The sequence below is a fragment of the Homo sapiens genome, chromosome 11, assembly GCF_000001405.40.
Source record: "Homo sapiens chromosome 11, GRCh38.p14 Primary Assembly".
NCBI lineage: Eukaryota > Metazoa > Chordata > Mammalia > Primates > Hominidae > Homo > Homo sapiens.
This window is the reverse complement of record NC_000011.10, coordinates 10,632,945-10,658,111: the sequence shown is the minus strand read 5'-3', so window position 1 is coordinate 10,658,111 and position 25,167 is coordinate 10,632,945. Positions and strand designations below refer to the sequence as shown.

General features: G+C 47.0%; 1 protein-coding gene across 6 annotated transcripts in view, besides 4 other annotated features; it reads left to right on the top strand.

Annotated features, from left to right (window-relative positions):
* IRAG1 (inositol 1,4,5-triphosphate receptor associated 1) overlaps window positions 1-25,167 on the top strand; it is a 120,661-nt gene that overhangs the window by 35,644 nt on the left and 59,850 nt on the right. For 2 of the 6 annotated variants that reach the window (NM_001206880.2, NM_130385.4), the window contains exons 2-3: window positions 5,930-6,087; window positions 24,041-24,144. In NM_001206880.2, the coding sequence (NP_001193809.1) occupies window positions 5,930-6,087; window positions 24,041-24,144 (262 nt within the window). Of the gene's footprint in view, window positions 1-5,833; window positions 6,088-24,040; window positions 24,145-25,167 lie in introns of those variants that run through there. The other 4 variants (NM_001206881.2, NM_001100163.3, NM_001098579.3 and 1 more) reach the window with 3 other exon arrangements.
* Window positions 66-1,265: an enhancer, noted in NCBI's record as "CDK7 strongly-dependent group 2 enhancer chr11:10678394-10679593 (GRCh37/hg19 assembly coordinates)". NCBI's record gives its function as "activates an origin of replication core promoter dependent on BRD2, BRD4, P300/CBP, MED14 and CDK7 cofactors, with strong dependence on CDK7, by STARR-seq in HCT116 cells {active_cell/tissue: HCT116}" and the evidence as "EXISTENCE:reporter gene assay evidence [ECO:0000049][PMID:35650434]".
* Window positions 312-461: an enhancer, noted in NCBI's record as "active region_4442". NCBI's record gives its function as "activates an Ori minimal core promoter by ATAC-STARR-seq in GM12878 lymphoblastoid cells {active_cell/tissue: GM12878}" and the evidence as "EXISTENCE:reporter gene assay evidence [ECO:0000049][PMID:35858748]".
* Window positions 15,929-16,108: an enhancer, noted in NCBI's record as "active region_4441". NCBI's record gives its function as "activates an Ori minimal core promoter by ATAC-STARR-seq in GM12878 lymphoblastoid cells {active_cell/tissue: GM12878}" and the evidence as "EXISTENCE:reporter gene assay evidence [ECO:0000049][PMID:35858748]".
* Window positions 16,129-16,178: an enhancer, noted in NCBI's record as "active region_4440". NCBI's record gives its function as "activates an Ori minimal core promoter by ATAC-STARR-seq in GM12878 lymphoblastoid cells {active_cell/tissue: GM12878}" and the evidence as "EXISTENCE:reporter gene assay evidence [ECO:0000049][PMID:35858748]".

Genomic DNA, 25,167 nt, shown 5'->3' with positions numbered 1-25,167 from the left:
GCATCCTCTCTCCTGCGAGAGTGACCATGAGAGCATGAGAGCAAGAACAATGACGAGTCACTGCCGAAGGACGCCTGCTTTCACAGCACAGACACAATGGCTTACCCTTTACTATGAGCAAAACCGTCAAAATGAAAAGTCAGAAAGCTGCCACATGCAGCCGGGCTCGGGGCATGGGTGCTCTGGGGACTTTTCTGACTCTGCCCCTCACTCATAGATGTGGCCTTGGTCACATGCCTGCCCCTCTGGGCCTCGGTTCCCCATTGGTAAAAATGGGTGCAGGGGTAAGACTGGTGAGTTCTCAGTGTCCCTCCATCACCCTCTGGATTTGCAGAAGGGCTAAGAGAGCTCCACGTGCAGTCACCCCCAACAATTCCCCCCATCAGTTGTCCATCTAGAGATAGACCCGTGGTATTAATAGCAACCTAATCTCTTTCACATTCTTTGTGCTGCTAAAATGAAAGCAAAAATTCAAAGCTGGAAGAACAAAAAAACTCCCTTCTGAGAATACTGAGTCACTCCAGAAAGGTCAGTGGAGGCTAGGTTAACCCATGGTTTCCCGAAAGGGCTTCTTGGCTCTTCCCTCAATGCTCAAAGATTCACAGAGAGAATCTGAGAGCCGCTTAGCTTACGGGCTGTGCTCCTGGGATACTGTGGTTTCAGAGAGGAGTTTGGTCTCTCCTAGGCAGGTTGCAAGGCTCTGGGAGAGGCATCTTTGGCGCCATGATGAGAGGCTGCTGCTGCCTGCCGAGAACAGGCTTGGCCCTGCAAGGAAGGGGAGCATCAGACCCAGATTCGGTGAATTCCCAGCACTGCCATTCATGAGCGATGACATTGGGCAAGTCTCTGGGCCTCTGTTTCCTCATCTGTAACATGGGTCTAACTTTAATGTTAATAATAATAGTACTTACTCTCCCCATCTCACAGGGCTGCTGACAGCACTGAAAGAGATAGTCTCTGTAAATTCTGTTCCTGAACCGTGCGTCCCGATGATGGCTCTATACTTTCTGGGATACAGTAAGGCCTTTGAAGCCTACAAGGCAGGGCCGGCCTCCGCGTCCTCCACCTGCTGCTACCACCTACCAGAGGACATGCAGGCTCAACTGTAGGCCACTCTTTAGCCCTCATAAGACCCCGGCCCGACAACCGAAGTGTAGGTCCTGTTTCCTCCCCTCTGCCTCCCACCATCCTTAGCCTCACTGGGAGTACTCACTCCAGCCCTCCCCTGGGAGGCAGGGCCCCCGTGCTAGTCTTTTCTGCCACACTCAAGCAGAACTCCTGGTGAAGAAGCCAGAGTGGAAGAGAGGAAAGATGGCGGGCCTAGGAGTCAGACTAGCCTGGATTATAGCCCTTCACCAGCTACTTACTAGCTGTGTGATCTTGAGCAGGTTGCGGAACCTCTCTGAGCCCTAGATCCTTAATATATTAAATGGAAATAATAAAACCTATCTCATGGGGGTTAAAGAAAATAGCACTTGAAATACATTTAGCATAGTGTCCGATGCTCAGTAGGCGACTTAGAAGTAGCTGAAGAATGAAAGCATGAACAAAAGCATATTAGTTTGTTTTCTTTCATGAGCAGGGGCAGATAAAATATTTAAATATGGTTTAGGAACTTCTAGCCTCTTCAGTTGCACAAATTACTGGATAGTTATCCCAGCAGAGTCTCTTGGAAGATTTGCACCAGATACAAGGGTAGCTGAACCAGTCAAGTTGTTTCCGTTTCTGCACCTCAGTTTCCCGGCCTGTAAAATGGGCCAGGTTCTAGTTAGGCACTAGCTGGAGGCAGAATGAGTAGAGTCATAAAAGCTGATTAGCTCTTGGCACTGGCCTACCTAACCCTTTCCGAACCAGACTGGAGAGGCAGCAAGAAGGGCCCTGAAAATGGGTTAAAGAAGGAACAGCTTGGAGACCAAACATTACTAAATATTTTTTCCTTTTATGGGTTGGTGCTCTAGATCAGCACTTCCTGGAGATTATATTCTAAACTTTGCAGTGATGGATGTGAGGTCCGTGTGCCCACAAGCTCCAGCAGAACCCAGATGTCACCCTGGGGCAGGGACTCTCCTTTTACCTTGCTATTTTAAGCAGCGAGTTTATAATAATGGATGGGAGAGACAGCAAACAGGGCAGGAGCAGCGTGGGAATGGCCCCTGCAGGCAGGGCTGCTGGGGCTCCCCTGAGGAGCCTGGGGTTCCATCTTGTCAAGAGTGGGGCCTCAGCAAGCATCCACTCTACTTTTATGTTGTGGCAGCTGACATCTGACTTAACTCATTTGTTCTATTCTGCTTTCTGTCACAGGGACTGACTTAAGCTCTTTTTGGAAGAGAGGGAGGTGGAGGAAGAAAGTAGAGGGTTAAAAAATGAGGTATTTCTCATGAGACTTCAGACCATAATCCCAGAGTCCTGGGATGGAATCGTCAGGTCTTTCAGTTTGTTGTAGCTAAAAAGAGTCCAGGATTTCAGGGACTCCCAGGGTTAGAAAAGGCCCCTGAAGTGGTTAGGAATCCTGTGACCCTTGTCCCAGGCTTTACGAGAACGCTCCAAGGAATGGGGACTCACTACCTTAAAGAACAGCCTGTTTCATCTTCAGGTGGTTCCAACCACTAGAAGGTCGTCCCTTGCCTTCATCTGACCTTTCAGTCATTAGTTATGACATCTATTCTTTGGGAACAGTAAAACCACATGAATGCTTTCCAAACATCTGAGAAGAGATTTTTATTTCTCCCTGCACTTCCTCTTCTCCGGGCTAAAGTTCTCTAGTTCTTTAAACACAAATTTTTGTTCTCCTTGCTTCCTGCTTCCCAGGTTCAAAACATGTCCCAATTTGTCTAAATCCTTCTTAACAGGCAGAGCACAATATACTTTGTGTAGATTAAGACAAAAGAAAAGTGGAATAGTCACCTCCCATGTTTTAGAAACCATGCCCCTGTTAAGACAGCCTGGACCTGTACATACGTCACACATAATTTTAAAAGGTTTCCTATGAGATGTAGCCAACTTCCTTTAGTAGAATCAGGGTTTGTGGCTAGTCTTTTGCTACCCTCAACCCCTGTTACCAAATACTTTACCCAGCACCACTGATGCCACTGCTGCTGAAATCCAAGTAAAGATGATAGAAATTAATCACAGAGCTCACCTTTGGGTGAACCTGATGCTCAGTTTATTCATACAGTAAGAATTTGGCATGGAAGACACAGACAGCATGCCCTGGCCCCGTAGTTCTCATTCCCAAGAGCCAGGTGAAGTCTGTCCAATGTGGCTTCTCCCCATCCTGTCTTATCTTCCCCACTAGACACCCAGCTAATCTGTTCCAAGAAATTCCACTCAGCATTTGTGTTCACGGCTCAGCTCAAACATTTGTAATGTGAAATATTTGCTAAAATCATGTCCCACCATCCCAGTTCCCACAGGTAACCCTTTTCTGGGGTCCTGCAACTTCTCACTTTCAAAATATTTACCCCATTATACTGTTCTCCAGCGTCTCCTACCACTGGGCTCTATGTTCCTTGAAGGCCAAGATTATCTTTATGTCACCAGCCCCTTGCACAGGCCTGGTAGAGTAGGTGTAAAATTTTGGCAGTGAAAGAATGAATGACTCTATGGATGGTCTACTTGAGATTTCTTGAGGTGACCAGTAGGGGTCACCCTAACTGTTCCAGAGCTGTGTGGGCTAACTTGTTCATTGCAGAGAAAGACAGCAATCAAGATGGTGGTCACCTTGACCAATCCTGGGGCTAAAAGTCCCTAGTTCTTTAAACATAAATCAACAATCATTCTTTGCTGAATCTTTTGGGTACCTAGGATGAATCTGACACCTTGCCTAGCTCAAGGAGCTCAGTCCAGGAGTCTAGAGGTATGTGTGTTGGCTGGGGGGTCTGTCAGAGCTGGGCTGATGGCAGCTCAGGCCTTTTCTCCAGTGCCCTGACTCTAGGGGCTTTCCGAGCCCTTTCTGAAGGACAGGAAGAACACCAAGTATTATGGGAGGTGGCAGGGCTTTCCGGTTCTTCCTCCTACAGCCTCCAGCAGTCAGCAGTACCTTCCAGAGGACCTGGAACACAGTTGGTGCTCAGTAAATGACAGTGTCCTTCATCTCCACCCCCACCCACCATGTCCCATCAGCCAAAGGTCACCTCACTATGTTATCTGCATGGTGGTCTTAATCTACTGTGCAGTGGAGCAGCTCCTTCAGGGAATCTCTAAAAGTTGCAGAACCAGGCCAGTTGTTAGTTCTATAGATTCCTGAAGGTATTGCCCACCCCACTAATAAAAGAAGGAGGGAGTTTAAGGATGGGGAGAGGCCAGGCAGAGCCCTTGGAGCTTCGGCCAAGCTTCCTGGGCTGCAGACCCCCGTGCAGGTGGCCTCTGTGGGAACTACTGTGAACTGAGTGTGTTTCATCCTTGGAGCATCCTGCTTGGGAGGCATTCTTATCTGTTTTGACAAGAAAACTGGGACTCAGAGATGAAGCCTACTTTCCAAGGCCACATAGCCAGTGAGTGGCAAAGTGAGGACTCACACCGAGATATCTGGTTCCAAAGCCTGTGTTCTTTCTACATTGCTATCCTGCCTTTCCCTATGGAAACCTGGCATTGCTAGTCTCCTCTTCTAAGAGGAAGCAGAGGAGCTAGACCCATTGGCTCAGGTCTGTTGGCAGGATCATACTCCTAGGCATCTTGACAGACAAGAAGCACGAAAGAGTAGTGGAGCATGTTTTCAGTTACAAGGAACAAAAACCCAACACAAAGTGATTTCAACACCAAGAGGCTTAATTGTTCATGTAACCAGCTAGTCCAGAAAGTGTTCAGGCTTCAGGCACACTTTAATCAGGGCTCCAGTTCTGTTTCTCTGCAGGTCCCTTCGCTCTGCCCTCCTCTGTGTGTATCATTTAGATTCTGTCTGGCTTTCCTCATGGAAGCAAAATAGTGTCCGTAGCACCAGGTCTCATATCTTCACACTCCACCACTCAGAGCAGGAGAAAGCATCTGGTCCTAGAACACCACTTTAAGCTCATCGATGTAGGCTGGGTCCATTGTCTATCCCTGAGCCAGTCACTGTGGGAGGTGGATGAGATTATGCTGATTGCAGTCCCAATCAGCACTGGGACCCCAGTGCCCCCAGGCTGCTGCACCATGGGGAAGGGATAGCCTGGCTTCTGGGAGTCAATCTAAGGTTGCCAGGGGTGGGCACAGGGCACATGGAATTCACCCTGCCTGAGCCCCCAGGTTTTAGTAGGGCTGGTGTAGTCCCCATAAGGGCTGAACTCAAATGAGAGAGCCTGTGCTGAGGGTCAGAAGAGCATGAGGGGAGGTGTCAGGGAGGAAGTCAGGAAACAGCACCTCTTACTCCCCATCCACATGGCTGAGGAACACTGTGTAGTATAGCAGAAAAAGCCCCAGCCTCAAAATCAGGAAGATCTGGGTTCAAATTATTGGTTCTCTGTATGATTTGGGGCAAGTGACTTTCACTCTCTGGGGCGGTTCTCTCATCTGTAAAATGGGAATATTAATGCCTACATCAGAGGTCATCTTGAGGATTCAATCAGATGATGGTGATGCTCCTAGGACAGGGCCTGGCACCCAGTAGGTGCTCAGTAAGTGGTAAACAACTGCCAATGTGATCTCAATGGAGTATCTTCCATTAGCTACAGCTTTGAGGAGTTCGAAGCACATTTCTCCCTTCTGGGATAGCTGTGTTTACTGTAAAGACCAAATTAGATGCAAAATCTCTAAGGTCACCTCTGACTTTGTAAACAAAGCCAGAGAGCCGGAGGAAATGAAATTCCAAATGCCCTCTCCTAGCCTGGTTTGACCTCCGGTGTTGATGCAAACTCAAGCCGGCTCTCACTGTGGCTTGTGGCTCCGGGAAATGGAACCCAGCTTGGGACAGGGATGGGAATGGATTTGACTTGTCCTTTTGGCATCTCCCCAGCCTGTGGAGCCCAGGCCTCTTGGAGCATCTTTGGGGCTGACGCAGCGGAGGTTCCGGGCACACGTGGCCACTCCCAGCAGGAGGCTGCCATGCCCCACATTCCCGAGGACGAGGAGCCCCCCGGAGAGCCACAGGCAGCCCAGAGCCCTGCCGGCCAAGTAAGTGCCCCCTCCCTGCCCTCAGCTAGCCTGGCTGGGGGCCAAGCCAAGCACCCTGGGCTGAGGCCACAGCTTTTAGGCTGGCCAGAGGGTTTGCTGACAGCTCATGTAGGTTGCAGTGGGTACCTGGAGAAGGTGTGTGGCTTCCATACTGAGGAATCAATTACTCTGAGTTGGTTTGAATTGACCGAGGCCCCAAATATTCTGGGTATAGAACCAACCATCTAGGCTGTGTCTGACTGAGGCCTCAGAAGTCAAACCACAAACCATGCAGGCTCCCTCTGAAACCGGAGAAGGACTTATATGAGAACCATTAGCACTGAGAACCTCTTATGTCAGGTGAGTGGGCACGAGAAAAGGCCACTTAAAGTGAATCCACTTAAAATGGAGATCAAAATTGTATAGTAAATAGCAAAAAAGGTTTTCAGTGAAATTTTATTATAGAAAGGAAATGATGAAAGCAGATTAATTTAAAGAGACATCAAGATTTTTATTGTACAAATGAGGCATTCAAAACAAGCTATTTTTAGCTATACAGATTACAAAATATAGGTTATGTGCTAATTTTCAGATTGAAGAAAGAATAAAATGTTGATTTTGGTGTGGGTATATTTATTTATTATACCAGCAAAGTGATCTGTTCACATAGTAACTCGCTCTTCACATTTTACTTTACAGCACCTAATTAAGAGTCTACGTCTGTTTAATACTTAAGGGCTTCATCCATTTCCCCAAGGATCTCTTTCAGTCCCTCGATATTCAAATTATTCCCTTTTGAAGAACCTATTTGAGCATCATCCTCGTCGTATTTTCTTCACTTAATTGATAAGCTCTATCTGATCTCCTTGGTCAAAGACCTTGCATGTAAAATTCTCCATCACTGTTTTCTTTGACTTCATGAACTTTGCAGTTGATTTGCATTGAAATGGTATTGTCCTGTTATATCGGACAGTCATCCAAACTGACCTGAGCCAGGTGGGATAGACGCTTTTTAAGTGAGGGAAGAATCTATAAGTGGAGCATTATTTTTACAAAAGGGCAGATTCTTAGTGAGTATTTTCATGTTATGATGGCATTTGTTTTCTGACACATTACGACTCTGGGAACTTAGATAGTAAACACTTAGAAAAGAATGGCCCTTTGTATCTGCATATCCCAAGCTCATCGGATTAAGATGTTGCAGAACTTGGCAGCCTTAGGGGTGAGGGGGTTGTCCTTCCCTTGAATGTCTAAGTGACAGTGGGCCAACCCCCTAGCCCTTCAGCCTCAGGCAGCCCAGCCCAGGGTTTTATCAAGTCCAGGCCCCCATTCTGGGAAATAGTGGGTCCTGCTGCTGAGGGTGCCAAGTTCCAAAAGCTTGGGGATTAAGGAAAGGAGAGACAAAACACTCACAACTGCATTCAAATGCGACTGCTTCCAGACCCTCAGGCCATGACTTTCTTGGCCTCTGTCTCCTTAGCATCCCTATTTCCTCGCCCTGGACTCCTCTGAAAATGGCCATCCCTGGCCCCTTCTACTTTACTAACAATGGTAGTACCCTTGAATCAGATTCTCAGGCAAAATGTAGCTCTTAAATCCTGGGCAACTCCCCCAAACAGCTGCCCCAAGACTAAAAGCATTCCTAAAATATAAGATAATAAAAGATCAGCAAAGATGCACCCCTGCTGTCAGTGAAGACAGGCTTTTATATTAAATTCTTCCTGCTTACAATGCTTTATAATTAAAAGTTCTTTCAGAGTATATCCTCAGGAAACATAAAACAAGACAACATAGACACCTGTCACTTAGACATTCAAGGGAAGGGCATCTCCCCACCCACAAGACTGCCAAGTTCTACAACATCTTGATCCCATGGGTTTGGGATATGGAGATCCAAAGGGCCATTCTTTTTAAAGTGTTTGTTACTTAAGTTCCCAGAGTTGTAATGTGTAAGAAAACAAATGTAATCATAACATGAGAATATTCACTAAGAATCTACCCATTTGTAAAAATAATGTTCACTCATGCATTCTTCCCTCATGGGTCCTTCTGCTGGGCCCCAATAATGCAGAAGCTATCAGTACCTGCAAACATTCTCTCTATAGTCTTGATTTCCCATGGGCACAGAGAGAATCATGGCACTTGAAGGGCCTTCAGAGACCATCCGTTATTTAATAAGAGTCTGGTTCTGGCTCAGGGTCACAGGGAGACTGAACTTGTGGGGAACTGGAATTTGGAGCTCCCACTAGCCAATCAGGGATCGCTTACTCTCAACTTTGTGGCAGGCAAGCTCATGGAACCCTCCCCCCATTGTGGCAACCTCTAGAAATTCATCATGCCAACCTAATGGCACTGTACCTATATGCATTTTGAAGCTGTGATGGTTAGGAAGGCCAGCAGGAATTCAGGGGAGCCGGGAGCCGAGAAGCCCAGGTCCTATCAGGGAGGATACCTAGCACAGGATTTAAGAATGTAAACTGTGCAGTCATACCAAGCTGGGCTTCAATCCCAGCTCCTCTACATTCTGGTCAAGAGACCTTGTCTTGGCCAAGAAACTTTGAGACCAAGTCTGTTAACTTTGCTGTGCTGCTGGTTTCTTATGTGTTACCCAGTACAAGGGTTAGTTGCTGCCTCCTAGACTCTGCCTGTTCAGCCCAGCCCTCAAGTGCCTTCTATAGCCTGAGGGACCATGAAGCTGGGGCAGTTCAGACCCCCCCAACCAAAGGCCACATCAAACTCAACTTTCTTTTACCCTCTTCCCTTACTGCCACGCCCTGGACATTTCAAAGCTTTTCAGAAGGCAACCAGGCATGGTGAGTAAAGTGCTTCTCCCACTATTGCACCCACCAGACCACCCACATTGGGTTTCTCAGGTAGTCACGGCCTCGGGAGGGTCAGGCCTCAGGAGCTGGCCTGGAGCCTTCAGGGGGCTGGAACCTGAGTCCCTGGGAGCATCCGAGGCCAGGCAGCCAAGGAAGCGGGGTTGGCCAGGATGACTCGGCTGGAAGTCCCAATCCTGCCTGAATTCCCAGTCTGTGAAGCAGGCAAAGAACAGAGCATCCTTCTAAGTTTACAGCTCCCCGGGGTCCAGCCCTAGTTGTGATTCCTCAGGTCCCAGCCCCTATTTCCCATCACTGGCATGAGCACTAGCCGAGGCCTTCTCACACACAAACACAAAATCTGTAGGACTAGATCCTGTTTCTCTTTCTGCACGTACACACGCATACACACACACAGACACACACGCAGATACACAGGCATGCACAGACAGACGTACTCTTCAGGTCCTTAATCAGAAGCTGCAATCAAATACCACAAAAAGCCCCCCAACAATGCACTTTGTAAGGCTATGTCCTGAGTGGGGTTTTCTGCATTGGCCCTTGAACAGGGAGAGACTCAAAGGGAAGAGTTTGTAGCCAAGGGGTTCTAGCAGGAATAGAAGCTGTCAGAACACAAGCCTGGGACCTGAGGGGACCACAGAATGACAGACTGCCAGTGCTAGAAGAATCCCAGGTCACATCTAAGCTCCGCCCAGGCAGGCAAAGCTCTCTATAACGTGAGCCCCACTCAGTCACCCTGGGAATTTTTTGAACACCAGATTCCTCAGCCATCCAAGACCTACTGAATTGGAATCTCTTGAGGTAGGTCTTAGGAATCTGTAGGAATATATCTTTGTATTTTTGAGACAGAGTCTTGCTTTGTCACCCAGGCTGGAGTGCATTGGTGTGATCTCAGCTCACTGCAACCTCTGTCTCCCAGGTTCAAATGATTCTTGTGCCTCAGCCTCCCGAATAGCCGGGACTACAGGCCTGCACCACCACGCCTGGCTAATTTTTGTATTTTTAGTAGATATGGGGTTTCGCCGTGTTGGCCAGGCTGGTCTCAAACTCCTGGCCTCAAGTGATCTGCCCACCTCGGCCTCCCAAAGTGCTGGGATTACAGGCGTGAGCCACCGGGCCCAGGGTAGGAATCTGTAGGAATATTTCTATAATGAAAAGCTCACCGCCTCCCAAGGAAGCCTGTGCACTGGTTGGCCAGCTCTGTCCTGGTCAGGCTGGAATCTGCCTCCCCCAAGACTCTCCCTCGGTTCTGCCCTCCATACAACCTATAGTGGGGTGAAATCCTACAGATGCAGAAAGGCAGTTCTGAGTCTTCTCAGAGTCTCTTTTTCTCTAGTTTCTTCAGTCTTTGCTCCCATGACAGTGTTCAGAGCCTTCCTAACCTCCGCTCAGGACACATACCAGCCCATCTCCGCCTTACTGTAGGGCCCCAGACCTGGCCCCAGGCTCCAGATGCAATCTTACCTAGGCCTAGATGAGTTCCTGGACTGTGACCAGCAGCCACAGTAGGAAGCTGACTCACCCAGACAGTGCAGCATCCTCTGAAGTGCCTTGTAAACCTGAGGGTACAAAGAGGCTCATGTTAGCTGTAAGAGCCCAATTTTCACCGGCTCTAGCTTCCACCTGAACAACTCCCATCCTCCTCCAAAGGGTTTTAGAAGCCCCCAGGGGCAGGTCAGTGTGAACTCATAAGCAGACTTCACCTCTTCATATCACCCATTCCAGCACCCAGCTACCACCTCCCCTGTTCCCCTACCTCCGCTGCACACAAAGCCACTTAATAATAATAGCTAACCCTGTGCCAGATACTCGTCTACCATATTAACTCATTTAACATATAATTAGCCTTACGGTAGGTATTATCATTCCCATTTCATAGCTGAGGAAACTGAGGCACAAAGAAATTAACTACCTTCCTCCAAGGTCATACAGCTCATAAGTGGCAGGCCCAGGATCTGGGCCCAGGCAGCCTGACCCCAAAGCCCATGCTTAGTCCATACCCGCACTGAGCACTGTTACTGCCCCTGGGTCCTCAGTGAGAGCTCTGGGACCTGGGCCAACAGTACGTTGTCCTGTGTTCCCAAAGCCACTCACCTCAGAAGGGCCAACTTCAGAGCTCGCTGTCAGGGGAATGCCAAAGCACCACCAAACCCCTTCTGCCTGCCAGCCCCTCAGGAGCACAAGCTCGTGGGGCCAGCAACCAAAGCTGCATGTCACATGCCTGTCTATGCCCCTTCCTCATTCTCCTTCAGTCAGGTAATCAAACAGCCCAACTTTAACTTGAGTGGGCTGTCTGATTGCTTAGCTGAAGGAGAATGAGGAAGGGACATGGACACATTGAGGAAGGGGAAGGGCACATTAACTCCTAGAAACACAGGCCACCATGCTATTGCCTGGTTTAGGCCACATGCATGAGGCACTCTGGGTCTCTCCGAGCATCCACTTTGTGTTTCATTCGTTGATGCTCTAGGCAGACATGGATGCTCAGCCCTGTTACGCAGTAGCTCTTGTGACTTAAGGTCACTGCAGCACTCCACTGATGAGTGGCATCTGCACCCCTCCCCTCCCGTAACTTTTAAGTAACTGAGATGTGGTTGGAGTGTGCTCTGGAGAAGCAGTCTTGTTTGTGTGGCCCTTATAGGAAGGGATCTGCTTGTGGAGCACCTAGAACCTCTGGCTATGGAGGTGCTGGCCTTCCTCCTGTTTTGGCTCAGAAATAGGGACTGATGTAAGTGCCACCATAACAAATCTGGGGTTGGGTAGATAATTGGCTGGCTAGATGATTAAATGACTGCACTAAAGGGCAGAAGAAATGGAGGGAGGGCTAATGTTAGGAAGGGAGGAAGGAAGGGAGGATAGTAGATATGATGGATGAATGACTAGCTGAGTTACTCTCCTTGGAATAAAGCTAACACATACTGTGTTTTTCCACACTCCCAAAGTCTGTTGGCATGAGAGTAAAAACAGTGGACAAGGGTTGTAGGAGGCCTATCCTGGCTTACACCCTCAGTCAGTGGGCTGGGCTCAGAGCCAACCTGTCTGTCCTTTAAGAAGAGGAGGATGACCAAGCAGCCAGGGAGTTCCAGAAGGTACAGGAAAGGCTCATAGAAATGTAAGGTATAAGCAGCATGGCAGAGCAGGAAGAACTTGGGCTTCACATCCTTGACTGCTACCTTGGATAAGTGATTCCTCATTATTCCTTGCCCCAGTTTCCTCATCTAGAAACTAAGAGTTATAGGAATAGCCACTAACAACAGCTAACCTTTATGGAGAACTTACTATGTGCCAGGTACCATATTAGGCTTGTTTTATATGTTACATTATCTCATTTAATTCTCGCAATACTCCTGGGAAAACTATTAGTATTTCCAGTAACAGATAAAGAATTTAAGCACAGAAAAGTAATGTGCAGTGGGTGACATAGCTAAGGAAGTGGTTGAGGCTAAATTCAAACCCAGGCAGCTTGACTTTAATTACTGGAATAATATATATAAAGTGATGAGCAAAGTACTTAGCTCACAATAGGCGCTCAGTCCCTATAGCACAAAACGGTTTGCAAAAAGTTTCCACATGTGTCACTGCAAGTGCAATGACATTGCAAGTGCAAAACCACTGTGAGGTAGACAGAGCAGAGAGAGTCACCCCCATGAAAGTGCGAATTTAGAGCAGTTAGGTATCTTATCCAGATGAAGGGAAAGAAACTAACACACAGGTTCCTAGTGTTTTCTAGCATTTAACCTTCAGAACGCAGTCGTACATGGTAGTGATGACTATGCACATTTCACAGATCAGGATACTGAGGCTTGGAAAGGTTAAGCCAGTTGCTGAAAATCACATAATAGGGAAATAGCAAGGCCCGGATTCCACTGTCTCATGGTTGTAAGCTGAGGAAATGGGCTATAATTAATTGTTTTCCTATTTCTATTCCAAAAATACCCCATTATATGCAATAGAGTTTGAGCACAGAGGCAAGGGATGATTATTCACATACACATGGTAGGCACTCAATAAATATGGAATCGAGGAATTGAAGTACATTTACTCAGTCAATGTTTATTGAATTTGCTCAATAAATGTTTATTGAGCATTAACTAACTAAGGTCCTGCTCTCAGGAAGCTCACTTCCTGGTAGATTTACTACCAAATGCCAGTTCTGTCAGATCCAATTTGCTCTTGTGTTCTCCCACGGCCTTCTCCCATCAGGACCTGGAGGAGACTTGTTCTGCGCTGTCTATGGGAATATCTCGAGTTTAGCCATATACTTTACTGCTGAAGGCAGATTGCCAGCTTCTCTATCCATTTGACTCCTTTTGGCTGTTCAAGCCCTGTCCTCACTGGCCAACAGAGAGGTTCTGCCTGTACCTCCCTGGAAACTCCTTGGGAACCGTGTGCTGCCCGACTAGAGAAAAGGTGTGTGACCCAAAGGATCAATTATCTGTCAGGAATGAGATGAAGAGGAACCAGATAAAGCATGTAAAACACTTGGAACCTGGTAAGGACTGTGTAGAGTAGGGATCCCCCTGCCCCCCAGCTTCCCCAGTGAGAACCCTCATACGGTACCTCCCATGTGCCAGGCACTGCTCTAGGCACTTTACACATAGCAACCTCACGACAACTCCAAGACACAGGCATGATGGCTATCCCACTTTATAGATGAGAAAACAGGCAGGTAAGGGCACTATACTCACCAGAAACCAGGAAGTACTTGGATGCTCCCATCGAGGATTTTGAATTCATCTTCTCTGAGTTCATTTCTACTTATCTCATCACATCCTTTGCAAGAACAGCCTCAATTAAGGCCTTCAATAAAATAATTTAAAATAAATTATCAATAAAATATTAGTATCTGGTATACAAGATAATGGTAGCAACTACTGGGCACCTGGTATGTGGTCTAATCCCTCCAAGGTAGATATTATTATCTCTATTTTTTAGATGAAGAAATGGAGTCTCTGAGAGTTTATGTAATTGTCAAAGATCACCTAGCTGTGCTGTGGTCAAATAGAGATTCAAACTCAAGTTTCCCACTGATGTCATCCTGCCAGGTTTTCCTTCCTTTCCTGGCCCTAGCTAGGACACCAGAGGCCCCATGCATGGGAAACAGGTGCTTGATGCTCCATCATTATAAAAAAGAGCTCAAGAGGACAGTTCCACCAGGCTGGCCTCTAGTGGTTCTGGTCACAGGGTAAGAGCTGTGAGAATTTAGCGTGGAAGTGCCTAAAACAAGGCAGAAAGTGTTTTAGAAATGTTGACGGTTACAGACAGTCGGAAATGCATATAAAAATTGTTTTCCCTTAGTTCCTATTGTGAGCAATGAAACAGATTGCTGTTCTTTGTTTTTCTGTCTCCACACATCAGGCTATGTGTGAGCTACTTGCGGGCCACAGACTGTGCCTTTCACATGTGTATCTCCACCCATAAGCATAGGCTCCAGCATGCGGTCGGAGCTTAGGGAGGGAGGGAGGGATGGATGGATGGAAAGGTGGATGGATGCTTGATTGTGTTGTGATAGGTTGGGTAGATAATTGGCTGGCTAGATGACTAAATGACTGCATTAAAAGGCAGAAGAAATGGAGGGTGGAGTAGTGTTAGGAAGGGAGGAAGGAAGGGAGGATAGTAGATATGACGGATGAACGACTAGCTGAGTTACTCTCCTTGGAATAAAGCTAACATATATTGTGTGCTTTTCCACACTCCCAGAGTCTGTTGGCATGAGAGTAAAAACAGTGATGAACAAGGCAGTTGTTCTTTATATCTGACTTCTAGAAATAAATGGACAATGGCAGGAAAGAGGATCCACCAGAGGCAGAGCAGGCCCTTGGTGCAAGGGAGGGCCTATAGGGAAGACACCGGGGAGCCTTTGGGGAGCCAGGGAACTGGCCCTCTATGCTTGGCAGGGAGGAGCCCCATGTCCAGCAGAACTCAGCAGAGGCACTTCTGCTCTCTCCTGTGCCCCTAGGACTTGCCGCTGGGATAATCATTTTCTTTCAAGTCCCCAGAGAGTCCTTTTTTTTTTTTTTTTTTTTTTTGAGACGGAGTCTCACTCTGTCGCCCAGGCTGGAGGAGTGCAGTGGCACGATCAGGCTCACTGTAAGCTCCGCCTCCTGGGTTCACGCCATTCTCCCGCCTCAGCTTCCCGAGTAGCTGGGACTACAGGTGCCCGCCACCATGCCCGGCTAATTTTGCTTTTGTATTTTTAGTAGAGACGGGGTTTCACTGTGTTAGCCAAGATGGTCTCGATCTCCTGACCTTGTGATCCACCGAGGCCATGCCTCGGCCTCCCAAAGTGCTGGGATTACAGGCGTGAGCCACCGTGCCCGGCCCAGAGAGTCCTTTTATCCTGTTGTAAGAGCACTGGCTGCTTTTGCTGCTGGATCTCCTCTCTACCAAGGCAGTCCCTGTTTGCCCTCCAGGCTACAAGACAGGGATCTGGGGATACAGTCTCACAGCACGCACCCACCACCACCACTTTCACCGTCATTATTATTGCTTTCTCTCATTTAATACTTAAAACAAGCCTAGAGAATAGTGATTATTAGCTCTATGTAATGTTTTAGACCATGAAAGAGAAGTTTAGTAACTAGTAACTTGCCCAAGGTCACCCAGGTGGGATTCTGGTCTAGGCCTACCCGACTTCTTCACTAGCCCACATTGCCTTCCAGCAGGGTCCTCCTCTCCTGGGCTGTCTGCCAGCGCCCATCTACAGGATCTAAACCCCCCATGCCTGCCTGAGCTGGAGTGGGCTGGAGCTGGGGCTGGGGGTGTTCCTTACAGTTTCCTAGCCTGGGCCTAGCCATGTGACTCTGGGGAAAGGAAGCTAATATTCCCATCTATGACACTGGCCTATATTTATCCCTGTGCCCAGGCGGTTAGGAAAACTATTGTGCATTCCTGAGAATCTATGAGTGAAATAAACATTTAAATGTTTCTATAAGATTTATTTAAGGAGAACAAAATGTGGCCTGCTGGCTTATTAGAGGGTGAGCTTGCTGGGAGATGACCCAGCCCTCAGTGCTTGGCTGATTCCAGGGAAGGGAAATGGACCCCCAGGGAGGCTGGGCCCATGGAGGAGTGAGAAGGGCAGTGAGCCAAGGGCATCCTCTGCCCATGCTGTCCTTTTCTCCAGCTGTGTGTTCAGCCTTGTGCTGGTTTGAGGGCTTCCTGGAGGAAGAGGTACCTTCTGTGAAGGAGAGTGCAGCTTGGAAGAATAAGAGTGTCAGAGGCCAGCAGGGCACCAGGAACCAGGGGAGGTGAGACCAAAAACTGGGGATGCAGCTTTAAGAGTAGCGTGGTGTCGTGGGAAGGACACAGCCTGTGTTCAGTCACTTCCCCTATTTACAAGCGGCACAGCCCTGGACAAGTCAGTTTTTGCATTGATAAAGTGGAGATCAAAATAGAAAAGCAGAAGAGAAAAAAGAAAGATATCAATCTTCTACCCCATGCTCATGGCCTTCACTTTCATCTTCTCGTTTCCTCTTCACAATTCTATGAGTTTGGGAGGCATTATCACCCCCAATTTGTAGGTGGTGTCCTCAGGTTTACCCACTGAGTTTCTGGGAGGATTCGGTGAGAAAACACGAGGGGGGTCTGGGACAGGGCCCACCACACAGTGGGCCTGAGTAACTGCCAATTCCCTCTAGCCATGTTTGTTTCTGTGCTTCCATGTCTGTAACCCACAAAGGGCATTGATTGGTTTGAGAGGCAGAGGGTGAGAGGGAGTGGAGCCGGGTGAAGGTGGCCTTGGTGGTGGGTCCTTGATCACTTGGGCTTATGTGGTCAGATGCCCCAGGAGAGATGCTCCATTGCGCCGTGACCACAGTGGCTGGGCTCTCCCAATTTAACTCCAGATGGTTGAGGAGACCCAGAACTAAGAGCAACCATCTTTTCAAAACCAAATGCCAAAGTCATTAATTCAATCCCGAAGGGAATAATAAGGGAACATAACATCTAATGCTTAGTGAGCATTTGCTCAGTGCTAGGTGCACTTCCACAGGCTTGCCATCTAGGGCTGCCAGATTTGGAAAATGAAAATATGATTATATGCTGTACATGGTGGCTCACACCTGCAGTCCCAGCTACTCAGGTGAGAGGATCACCTGAGCCCAGAAATTTGAGACCAGCCTGGGCACATAGCAAGATTCAGTCGAGAGAGAGAGAGAGAATACAGTTATGTCCATGGAATATTTGAGACACACATACTAAAAATTATCTGTTGTACATTTGAAATTCAAATATAACTGGGGCATCCTGTGCTTTATCCAGAAATCCTATTTCTATATCAACTTGTTTAATTCTTATAACTACCCTGTGAGATAGTTCCATTATAGATTAGGTAACTGAGGCACAGAGAGGCAAGGTAACTTGCCCAAGGTTATCCAGCTAAAAAGTATACCATAAGGTAGTGTGGCTTCTGAGCCTGAGGCCCTGAAGCCCCTAAGCCAGTAGGTTGTCTGGCCAACGCTATTTGGTCTTACTGCTCTCCCAAGCTTTCTTGAAGGCCTGCCTTGTGTTTGACAGCTCAGAATGGGAGCAGGGATGCGTGTGTGCACTGCATGAAAATCTGGCAGAATTCACCCCAGAGGGCCCCTAGAATCTTCCCACACACTCTCTCCTGGATTACTGTCTCCCCAGTCCCTGATAGAGTGAAAAACAGCCCCCACAAGACCTGAATGTTCCCACCAAAACAGTTTTGCAGAAAAGGAGAAGTTGCCCAGAGCTTGCTCAACGATTCTGTCAGCTGATGAGGGAAAGAACACTATGATTTTATGAGTTGTGTATTTTGCACACATTAGAAGGCAAGTGTGAAGAACCTTCCAGGATGTTCCATCAAGGGATTAGAGGATTTCCTCCTAATCGCTTTATGCTTCCTGCTTTGTAAGCCACTTGGAATTGTGAGTGTCTGCGGTTACCTGCTTGGCACTTGCCACCCATGGCTTGTTTCTGCCTTTTTGTATGGGCACCTCTGCCATGGTCCTCCTCCCCAGTGAGATGCCTACAGTCAGGAGAGCTTTGCTTCAGGTAACCATTAGCCAGCAAGCAGAGAAAGCTCCTATCAGAAGGCAGCTCACTCCCGTGCCTTGTACCCATTTACCTGGTAGGTATCAACACCGAGGGCACTATTAGTAATAGCAGTGGAGGTTACTTCCCCTTCTCTCCCCATTCCTTCATGCTAATGAATGGGAAGCATTGCAGAGGCCCGCTCAGTTCACCTTTGTCTTCCCAGACCTTAGCATAGACCCTGGCCACAATAGGCATTCAATAAATGTTTGCCGGATGATTGGACAGAATAAGGTCCAATAATGTGGGAGTGTTCACAGACCACATCCCTTTCTTGGACGCCAAACAGAATCTGATCATTGCCAGCCCAGTGCCCCTCTCTTCTCCAAGAAGGTCTTTGCTCTGTAAGACTCTTCAGTAAATGTTTGTGAGTCAATCATACAAACAAATGAAGACAATCTGCACAAAAAATAACTGGATGGAGCTGGGGGAGTAAAGGCTGGAGCAGGAGAAAAAGAGAAAGAAGGTAGACAGAGGATCTGGGCAGGGAGGCAAGCAGGGGAAGAGTCATCAGAGAGGGGGCGTGAGAATCGTTAAGGAAAGAGAAAAGGGCAGAGGAGAGGTCAGGATGGGAGTGAAGATTTGTTCCCCTTTCATGTTCTTTGAGAGGTGAGAGTAAAGAATGAAGTTCCTTCTATGCTGGTTTTCTTTCTGTTGAACAGTTCCGTAAGGCGAGCCTTCTCAGAGTCTGCGCCACGTGGATCACGGCTTCATTAGGTTTCAGGGCAAATAGTTTAACCACAACTCCCAACCATAGACTGTTAGGAGCATGAGGTTCTCCTTGTCTGCTAGGGATATTTATGTTTGTCAAATCATCCATCATTCCCCCATTTATATAGTCTCATGTTTTTATATCTTATATTTTATTGTTGGTTACTTCAAGTTGCTTTGAGAAGTAGATAGTGTCAATAAGATTAAAAATAAACAAAGGCCAGGCATGGTGGCTCACGCCTGTAATCCCAGCACTTTGGGAGGCCAAGGCAGGCAGATTACTTTAGGCCAGGAGTTGGAGACCAGCCTGACCAATGTGGTGAAACCCCATCTCTACTAAAAATACAAAAATTAGCTGGGCATGGTGGTGCATGCCTGTAGTCCCAGCTACTCGGGAGGCTGAGGCATGAGAATTGCTTGACCGGGAGGCGGAGGTTGCAGTGAGCCAAGATCATATCACTGCACTCCAGCCTGGGAGACAGAGTGAGCCTCCATCTCAAAACAATACATAAAAATAAAATAAAATATGTATTTTACTTATTTAGCAGCCTGAATATATGAAACTGTTAGAAATGGATATATGCTATAACTCTCCTAATACCACCACAATTATTTTTTCAGAATACAACATGGAATTAGCTCATGTTTGGCCCATCCTGCCCCTTTAAATAGACACAGCTTATCCTCATCAATGCATGCCAGGAATTTGTAAAGCCCCACCACAAGGGGTGGTGGAAACCATATGATAGAATGCATGTAAAAAATGATATTTTAGACAAAATGCATTTCTTCTTGTTCATCAGAGGACTCATACAAGAAAGAAATTCTCTAAATATGACAGACATGAAAAAGGCAACTTTCAGAGCTCAAATTTTCACAGTCAGAATAAAATCCAGGGAAAGAAGCCCGCGCATGCTATAAGCACAGTCAGAGTTTCCATTGGCGTTCCCATGGTGATAGGCATGAGGCTGCCCAGATGATGTGGGTGGGAGAGATTTTAAGCACAAACCTCCTGTGCTCTGGAAAACCAGGCCAGGATGAAAACTACATGACACAGGGCAGTAACTCAGATGCATTTGGGGCCAGGGAGCACAAATCACTGAAGAAAGCCAATTTAGGATAGCTCAAACCTGGTTACTCTGCAGAAATATGGGCCTAAGATTGTTTGATCTTTCAGTTTAAGGAAAAGCAGGCTATCCAGACCTTTATGTGAATTCTTACAATTATGGAATGTTGATAACTAATTTAAAAACTTGTAAACACTACTAGCAAACAGGCACATGGGTCTCTAATTTGCACCTCTGAGCTCAGAATATGCATCAGAGGATGCTGATTGCTTAATTGACATCCAAGAGATCACACCTGCCAGAAACACTGACAAATCCCTGATTCCCAGTAATGCCTTTTGCTAATGCTACTCCTTTTTAATGATGTGAAGAGATTCCTCTGGAAAGACTTCAGCTCTTCCTACTCACCAGAAAACCCACACAGTAGAAAACTCCCTATTCCTTCTTCTTCCCTGGCTCTCCCATTTAGCTTGGCACCTGCCCCTGGCCCTGCCTGCTGCCCCCTCTATCTGGCTACCTGCCATTTGACACACTGCTTCCCCTTCTTAACCTCCCCAGCCCTTGTGAATACTGTTCCACTGCATGTCCTCGGGGCCCCAGATCATTGTTCCACTTCTCTTCTGGTCCCCTGGAAACCCCAGCCTCTGCTGCTTGCTGGCCTCCCACCAGGGGAGCCCACTGAACAAAAGATGGGAAAAACTGGCTCACCTTGAATAGAGCCATCATTCATTTTAATAATAATCATGACTCAAGGGTACTTGTAGACCATATGACACTTATCAAAGTGCATACACATTCGTCATTTCTTTTTACTTGCATAATCTTCCTGTGAGAGAGAGCAGGCCTTTGGCCATTGTGCCATTATAGGAACGGAGGGATAAAGCCACAGGAGGACAAGCTTATCACCAGCCCATCAAGGCATACTATCCAGAGAATGAGTTGTTGCTTTTCAGAAAACTCCCTGGGTGTCTCTTCTAGGGGGAGTCCTTGACAGAAGGATGGGTATCTGTGTCCTCAGAGGGACTGGAGCTCTGGGATCATGAGGACAGGTCAGCCAGTCTTGGTTTCAGCCACAAGCACGTGCTGACTTCTTGTCACTCCCTCTTGGCCAGCTCTAGGTTTCCAAATGGAGACACAGCTCCTATTTACCAGGGAGCTCCTCAGAATTCCTATAGGGGATGATAGATGTTCTAATAACTGGGCCTCTTCTGTCATCTCAACCAGTGTGAATAGAGGGATGCATGGATGATCTGCTGTCAACATTTCTGTATTTCCCTTTGGGTAGTTAAGTTATTCTCAAGCCTAACCTTCAGGGCTTCCCATCTCCAAAACCATAAAGACCAAACTCATTAGAGTAGCTTCGAGGTCCTTCAGAAGCTGGCTCAATCTCTTATTGTACTTTCACAATTCCCCCAGCCCTGACCTCTCCTATCTCACATGTCATAGTCCATGCACCTGCACCAGCTACACTGACAAATCCCTGATTCCCAGTAATGCCTTTTGCTAATGCGATTCCCTTTGGCCAAATCCTGTCCTCTAACATCTTTGTCGTGCAAGCTCCTATTCATCCTTCAAGACCTAGCTCAAATGTCCACTCCTCTATAGAGTCTTCTTTAACTCCCCTCACTAAAGAGTTTTCTTTTCCTTCCTCTGAGCTTTCACAGAATGTGGTCCATCCCTTGTTTCCTTATATTTATTATGAGTTACTTCCCTGTATCCCTTGCTTGACTGCGAGCCCTTTAGGGTCTTCTCTTCATATCTCAAGTTGCTTTTGGCACATGGTGGATAACCATAAAGTGTTTGTTGAAAGAGAAAGAAATCTAAAGTAATGTACACATTTATTTAAAACATTAATCATATGCTAGATGCTTAGCACATTTAGAATATCAATCATGGCCTGGCATCGTGGCTCACACCTTTAATCCCAGCACCTTCAGAGGCAGACGTGGGAAGATCGCTTGATTCTGGAAGTTCAAGACCAGCCTGGCCAACATAGTAAGACCCTGTCTCTAAAAAAAAAATTTTTAAGTCAGCCAGGCGTGGTGGTGCACACCTGTAGTCCCAACTACTCAGGAGGCTGAACCAGGGCAATCACTTGAGCCCAGGAGGCAGAGGCTACAACGAGCTATGATTGTGCCACTGCACTGAAGAAACTAAATAAATTAAATAAATAAAAATGTCAATCATGCATAGGTACCTTATCAATGTTATTTTTAATCTTCACACTAACCTTGTGAGTTAGACTTTATAATCATGGATCATAGAGAGGTTAAATAACTTGTCCACGACACATAGCTAGTAGTTGAAATTTGAGCCCAGGTTTGTCTGACCCTTCCAATAGGCAATGCTGCTTCCTTCTGCTTCTACACAGCCCACGTCCCTGCCCAAGCTTCCCTTCCATGTCCCGGGAGATTCTGAGTGCCTCCTCTTCCTTCAGCCACTGTAGCTTTCTGCACTGAATCGCTCCCGGATAAGAACACAGAGCCCAATGAACATCTCCTCAAGGATCTGGCTCTGGGTTTCCACATAAAAGCATCCTTTCCACAAGAGAAGCAGCATGGTGCTCCCCAGCTGGACTCTCACCCAGAGACTTCTCCAGCTCATGTGGCCTTATGCTTGGGGCCAAAGAAGGGAAGAGATGAAAATGAAAATGGGAAAAGCTGGGTTCACTAAAAATTGTGGGACGTAAGAAGTCCAGATAGCACTGTATGAGACCCATTTCACAACAAGGCATAATGTCAAAAGGAGAGCAGGCCTCCTCCCTACCTTGCAGGGAACCAACACCTGCACACTGAAGGCTCAAGAACACAGCCTGGCTCTGCCAGAGGCTCCAGCCCATTGGCAGCTCCCACCGCCAGTGGGGCTAGTGGAGGTGAAAACATTTCATATGCAGGGGCTCTAGAAGGATTTGGCCCACCAGGGAAAGTGGCAATAGAGACAGTGGGCACCCACTGCTTTGAAGCTGCGGGAGGCAGCACCAATAGTGGAGGTGGCAGCAACATGCTCTGGGACGCTAGGAGGCAGGCCTTTGGCAAAGGCAGTCAGGTGCTCACAGAGGGAGCAGTGGCAGCACATGCCAGTCAAGGGGGTGGGAAGGAGGAGAAGGAAAATGACAGGCACCCTCTTAAGTTGATGGAAGGACCTAAGAGAAAACCCCAGGAGAGTCTTCTAACAAATTACGATCACTGAAATGTCAAAGTTACCCAAAGGTAGGACTGTCGTGGAACCTCAGGGGTGTGTGGGTGCCACTACCTTTTCCCCAGGCCATCATTCTTCCCCAGCCAGGCTGGCCTCAATCTGAGGACTCTGTACCATTCTTTTCCTGCATTGCTAGTGAGAACTAACCAGGGATAGCTTGTAGTGTCCCTAATCTTAGTGCATGAATAGTGGACCGTGTTAAGCTCAGGTGAGGGCCTGCTGGGGAATAAAGGAGAAACTGCCTTTTTTGTTTTCTGAGTAATCCAAATAACCTATATGTGTGCACTATTCACAATAGACAAGGTATGGAAACAATCTAAATGTCTGTCAATGGATGAATTAAAAAATGTGAAAAATATATACACAATAAAATATTGTGTCTGTATACACACACACACACACACACACACACACACACAAGAATATTATTCATCCTTAAAAAAAGAAGGAAATCTCACCTTTTGCAACAATGTGGGTGAGCCTGCAGGACACTATGCTAAGTGAAATAAGCCAGGCACAGAAAGACAATACTGCATGATCTCACTTATATGTAGAATCTTAAAAGGTCAAACTTGCAGAAACAGAGAGTAGAATGGTGGTTGCCAGTGACTGGGGGTGGGAGAAATGGGGAGATGTTGGTCAAAGAATTCAACTTACTATTTTGGTTATGAGGTGAATACGTTCTGGGGATCTAACGTACAGCACGGTGACTGTAGTTAATAATGTATTGTATACTTGGAATTTGCTAAGTATTGTCCACCACACAAAAAGGTAACTATGTGAGTTGGTGGATATATTAGTTAGCCTGACTGTGGTAATCATTTCACATCAAAACATCACACTGTATGCCGTGAATATGTCACATTGTATCAAAACATTGTATCAAGGTAATGAAAACATCGCATTGTGTGCCTTGAATATATACAATGTTTATTTGTCAACTATACCTCAATAAAGCTGGGGGAATAAAGAGTAAACTGCATTTGTCCCCTTATCAAGATGGCTCTGAGCATCATGATGTGAGAATAAATGCTCTGGCTCCTGTCCCTGGAAGTCCCACCAGCCCAAGCCTAACTCTGTGTTTTTGTTCTAAACCGGCAGGGTCCTCCTGCCGCAGGAGTATCTTGCAGTCCAACTCCCACGATTGTCCTGACTGGGGATGCCACTTCACCAGAAGGAGAAACCGACAAAAACCTGGCCAACAGGTACAGGTGCCTGATCCTTGCATTGTGACAAACAATATTTCCTAGAACATGAGGATCAGACAGCTATATTTTTAAATAAATCTTTTCTTTTTTCTTGTATCATTTTATTGACTAAACTATAATCAAGCAGTTTTTCAAAATACAAGATAGAAATAGGAATTTTTCCATTATCTTCCTCCTAAAATGATTTTTCCTCTCCTGGATGTGGTCCTTTTGGCTCTGCGACGGCTCCAGCCCATTTGCAGCCTCCTCCCCCAGCAGGGCTAGTGGAGGTTAAAACATTTAATGCCCAGGGGCCCCAGAAGGACTTGTTCCCCCATGGAAAGGGCTAGCCTTTAAGAAAAGCATAAATCACCGCAGGAGAGTTTCCCATAATAACTGTCCAGCTATTTGCAGCCAAACATGAAAGGTGCAGGTGTTTGAATGTAGAATCCTGCCCCTGGCCAAAACGTGTGAAATATGATCTCTTGGCAGGGACATGGGCTCACAGGTAGAGGAATGTCTCCGCCTTGGTTTCACAGAGCACTAGCCCACGAACTGGGCTCGCTGAAATGAGACTGTCTAATTTTCAAAAAGTTAAAAAGATAATTCTCGGCCGGGCGCAGTGGCTCATGCCTGTAATCCTAGCACTTTGGGAGGCCAAGGCGGGTGAATCATGAGGTCAGGAGATCGAGACCATCCTGGCTAACACAGTGAAACCACGTCTCTACTACAAATACAGAAAAATTAGCCGGGTGTGGTGGCGGGCGCCTGTAGTCCCAGCTACTCGGGAGGCTGAGGCAGGAGAATGGCGTGAACCCGGGAGGCGGAGCTTGCAGTGAGCCCAGATCGCGCCACTGCACTCCAGCCTGGGCGACAGTGCGAGACTCCGTCTCAAAAAAAAAAAAAAAAAGAAAGAAAGAAAAAGAAAAGGAAAAAGATAATTCTCATATAAATATACTGAGCATATGTCAAAGATTTACTTACCTCATTAATACAAGAAGCATCTGGATAACAAAGCCGGTTCAAAGGAGGATACAAGCA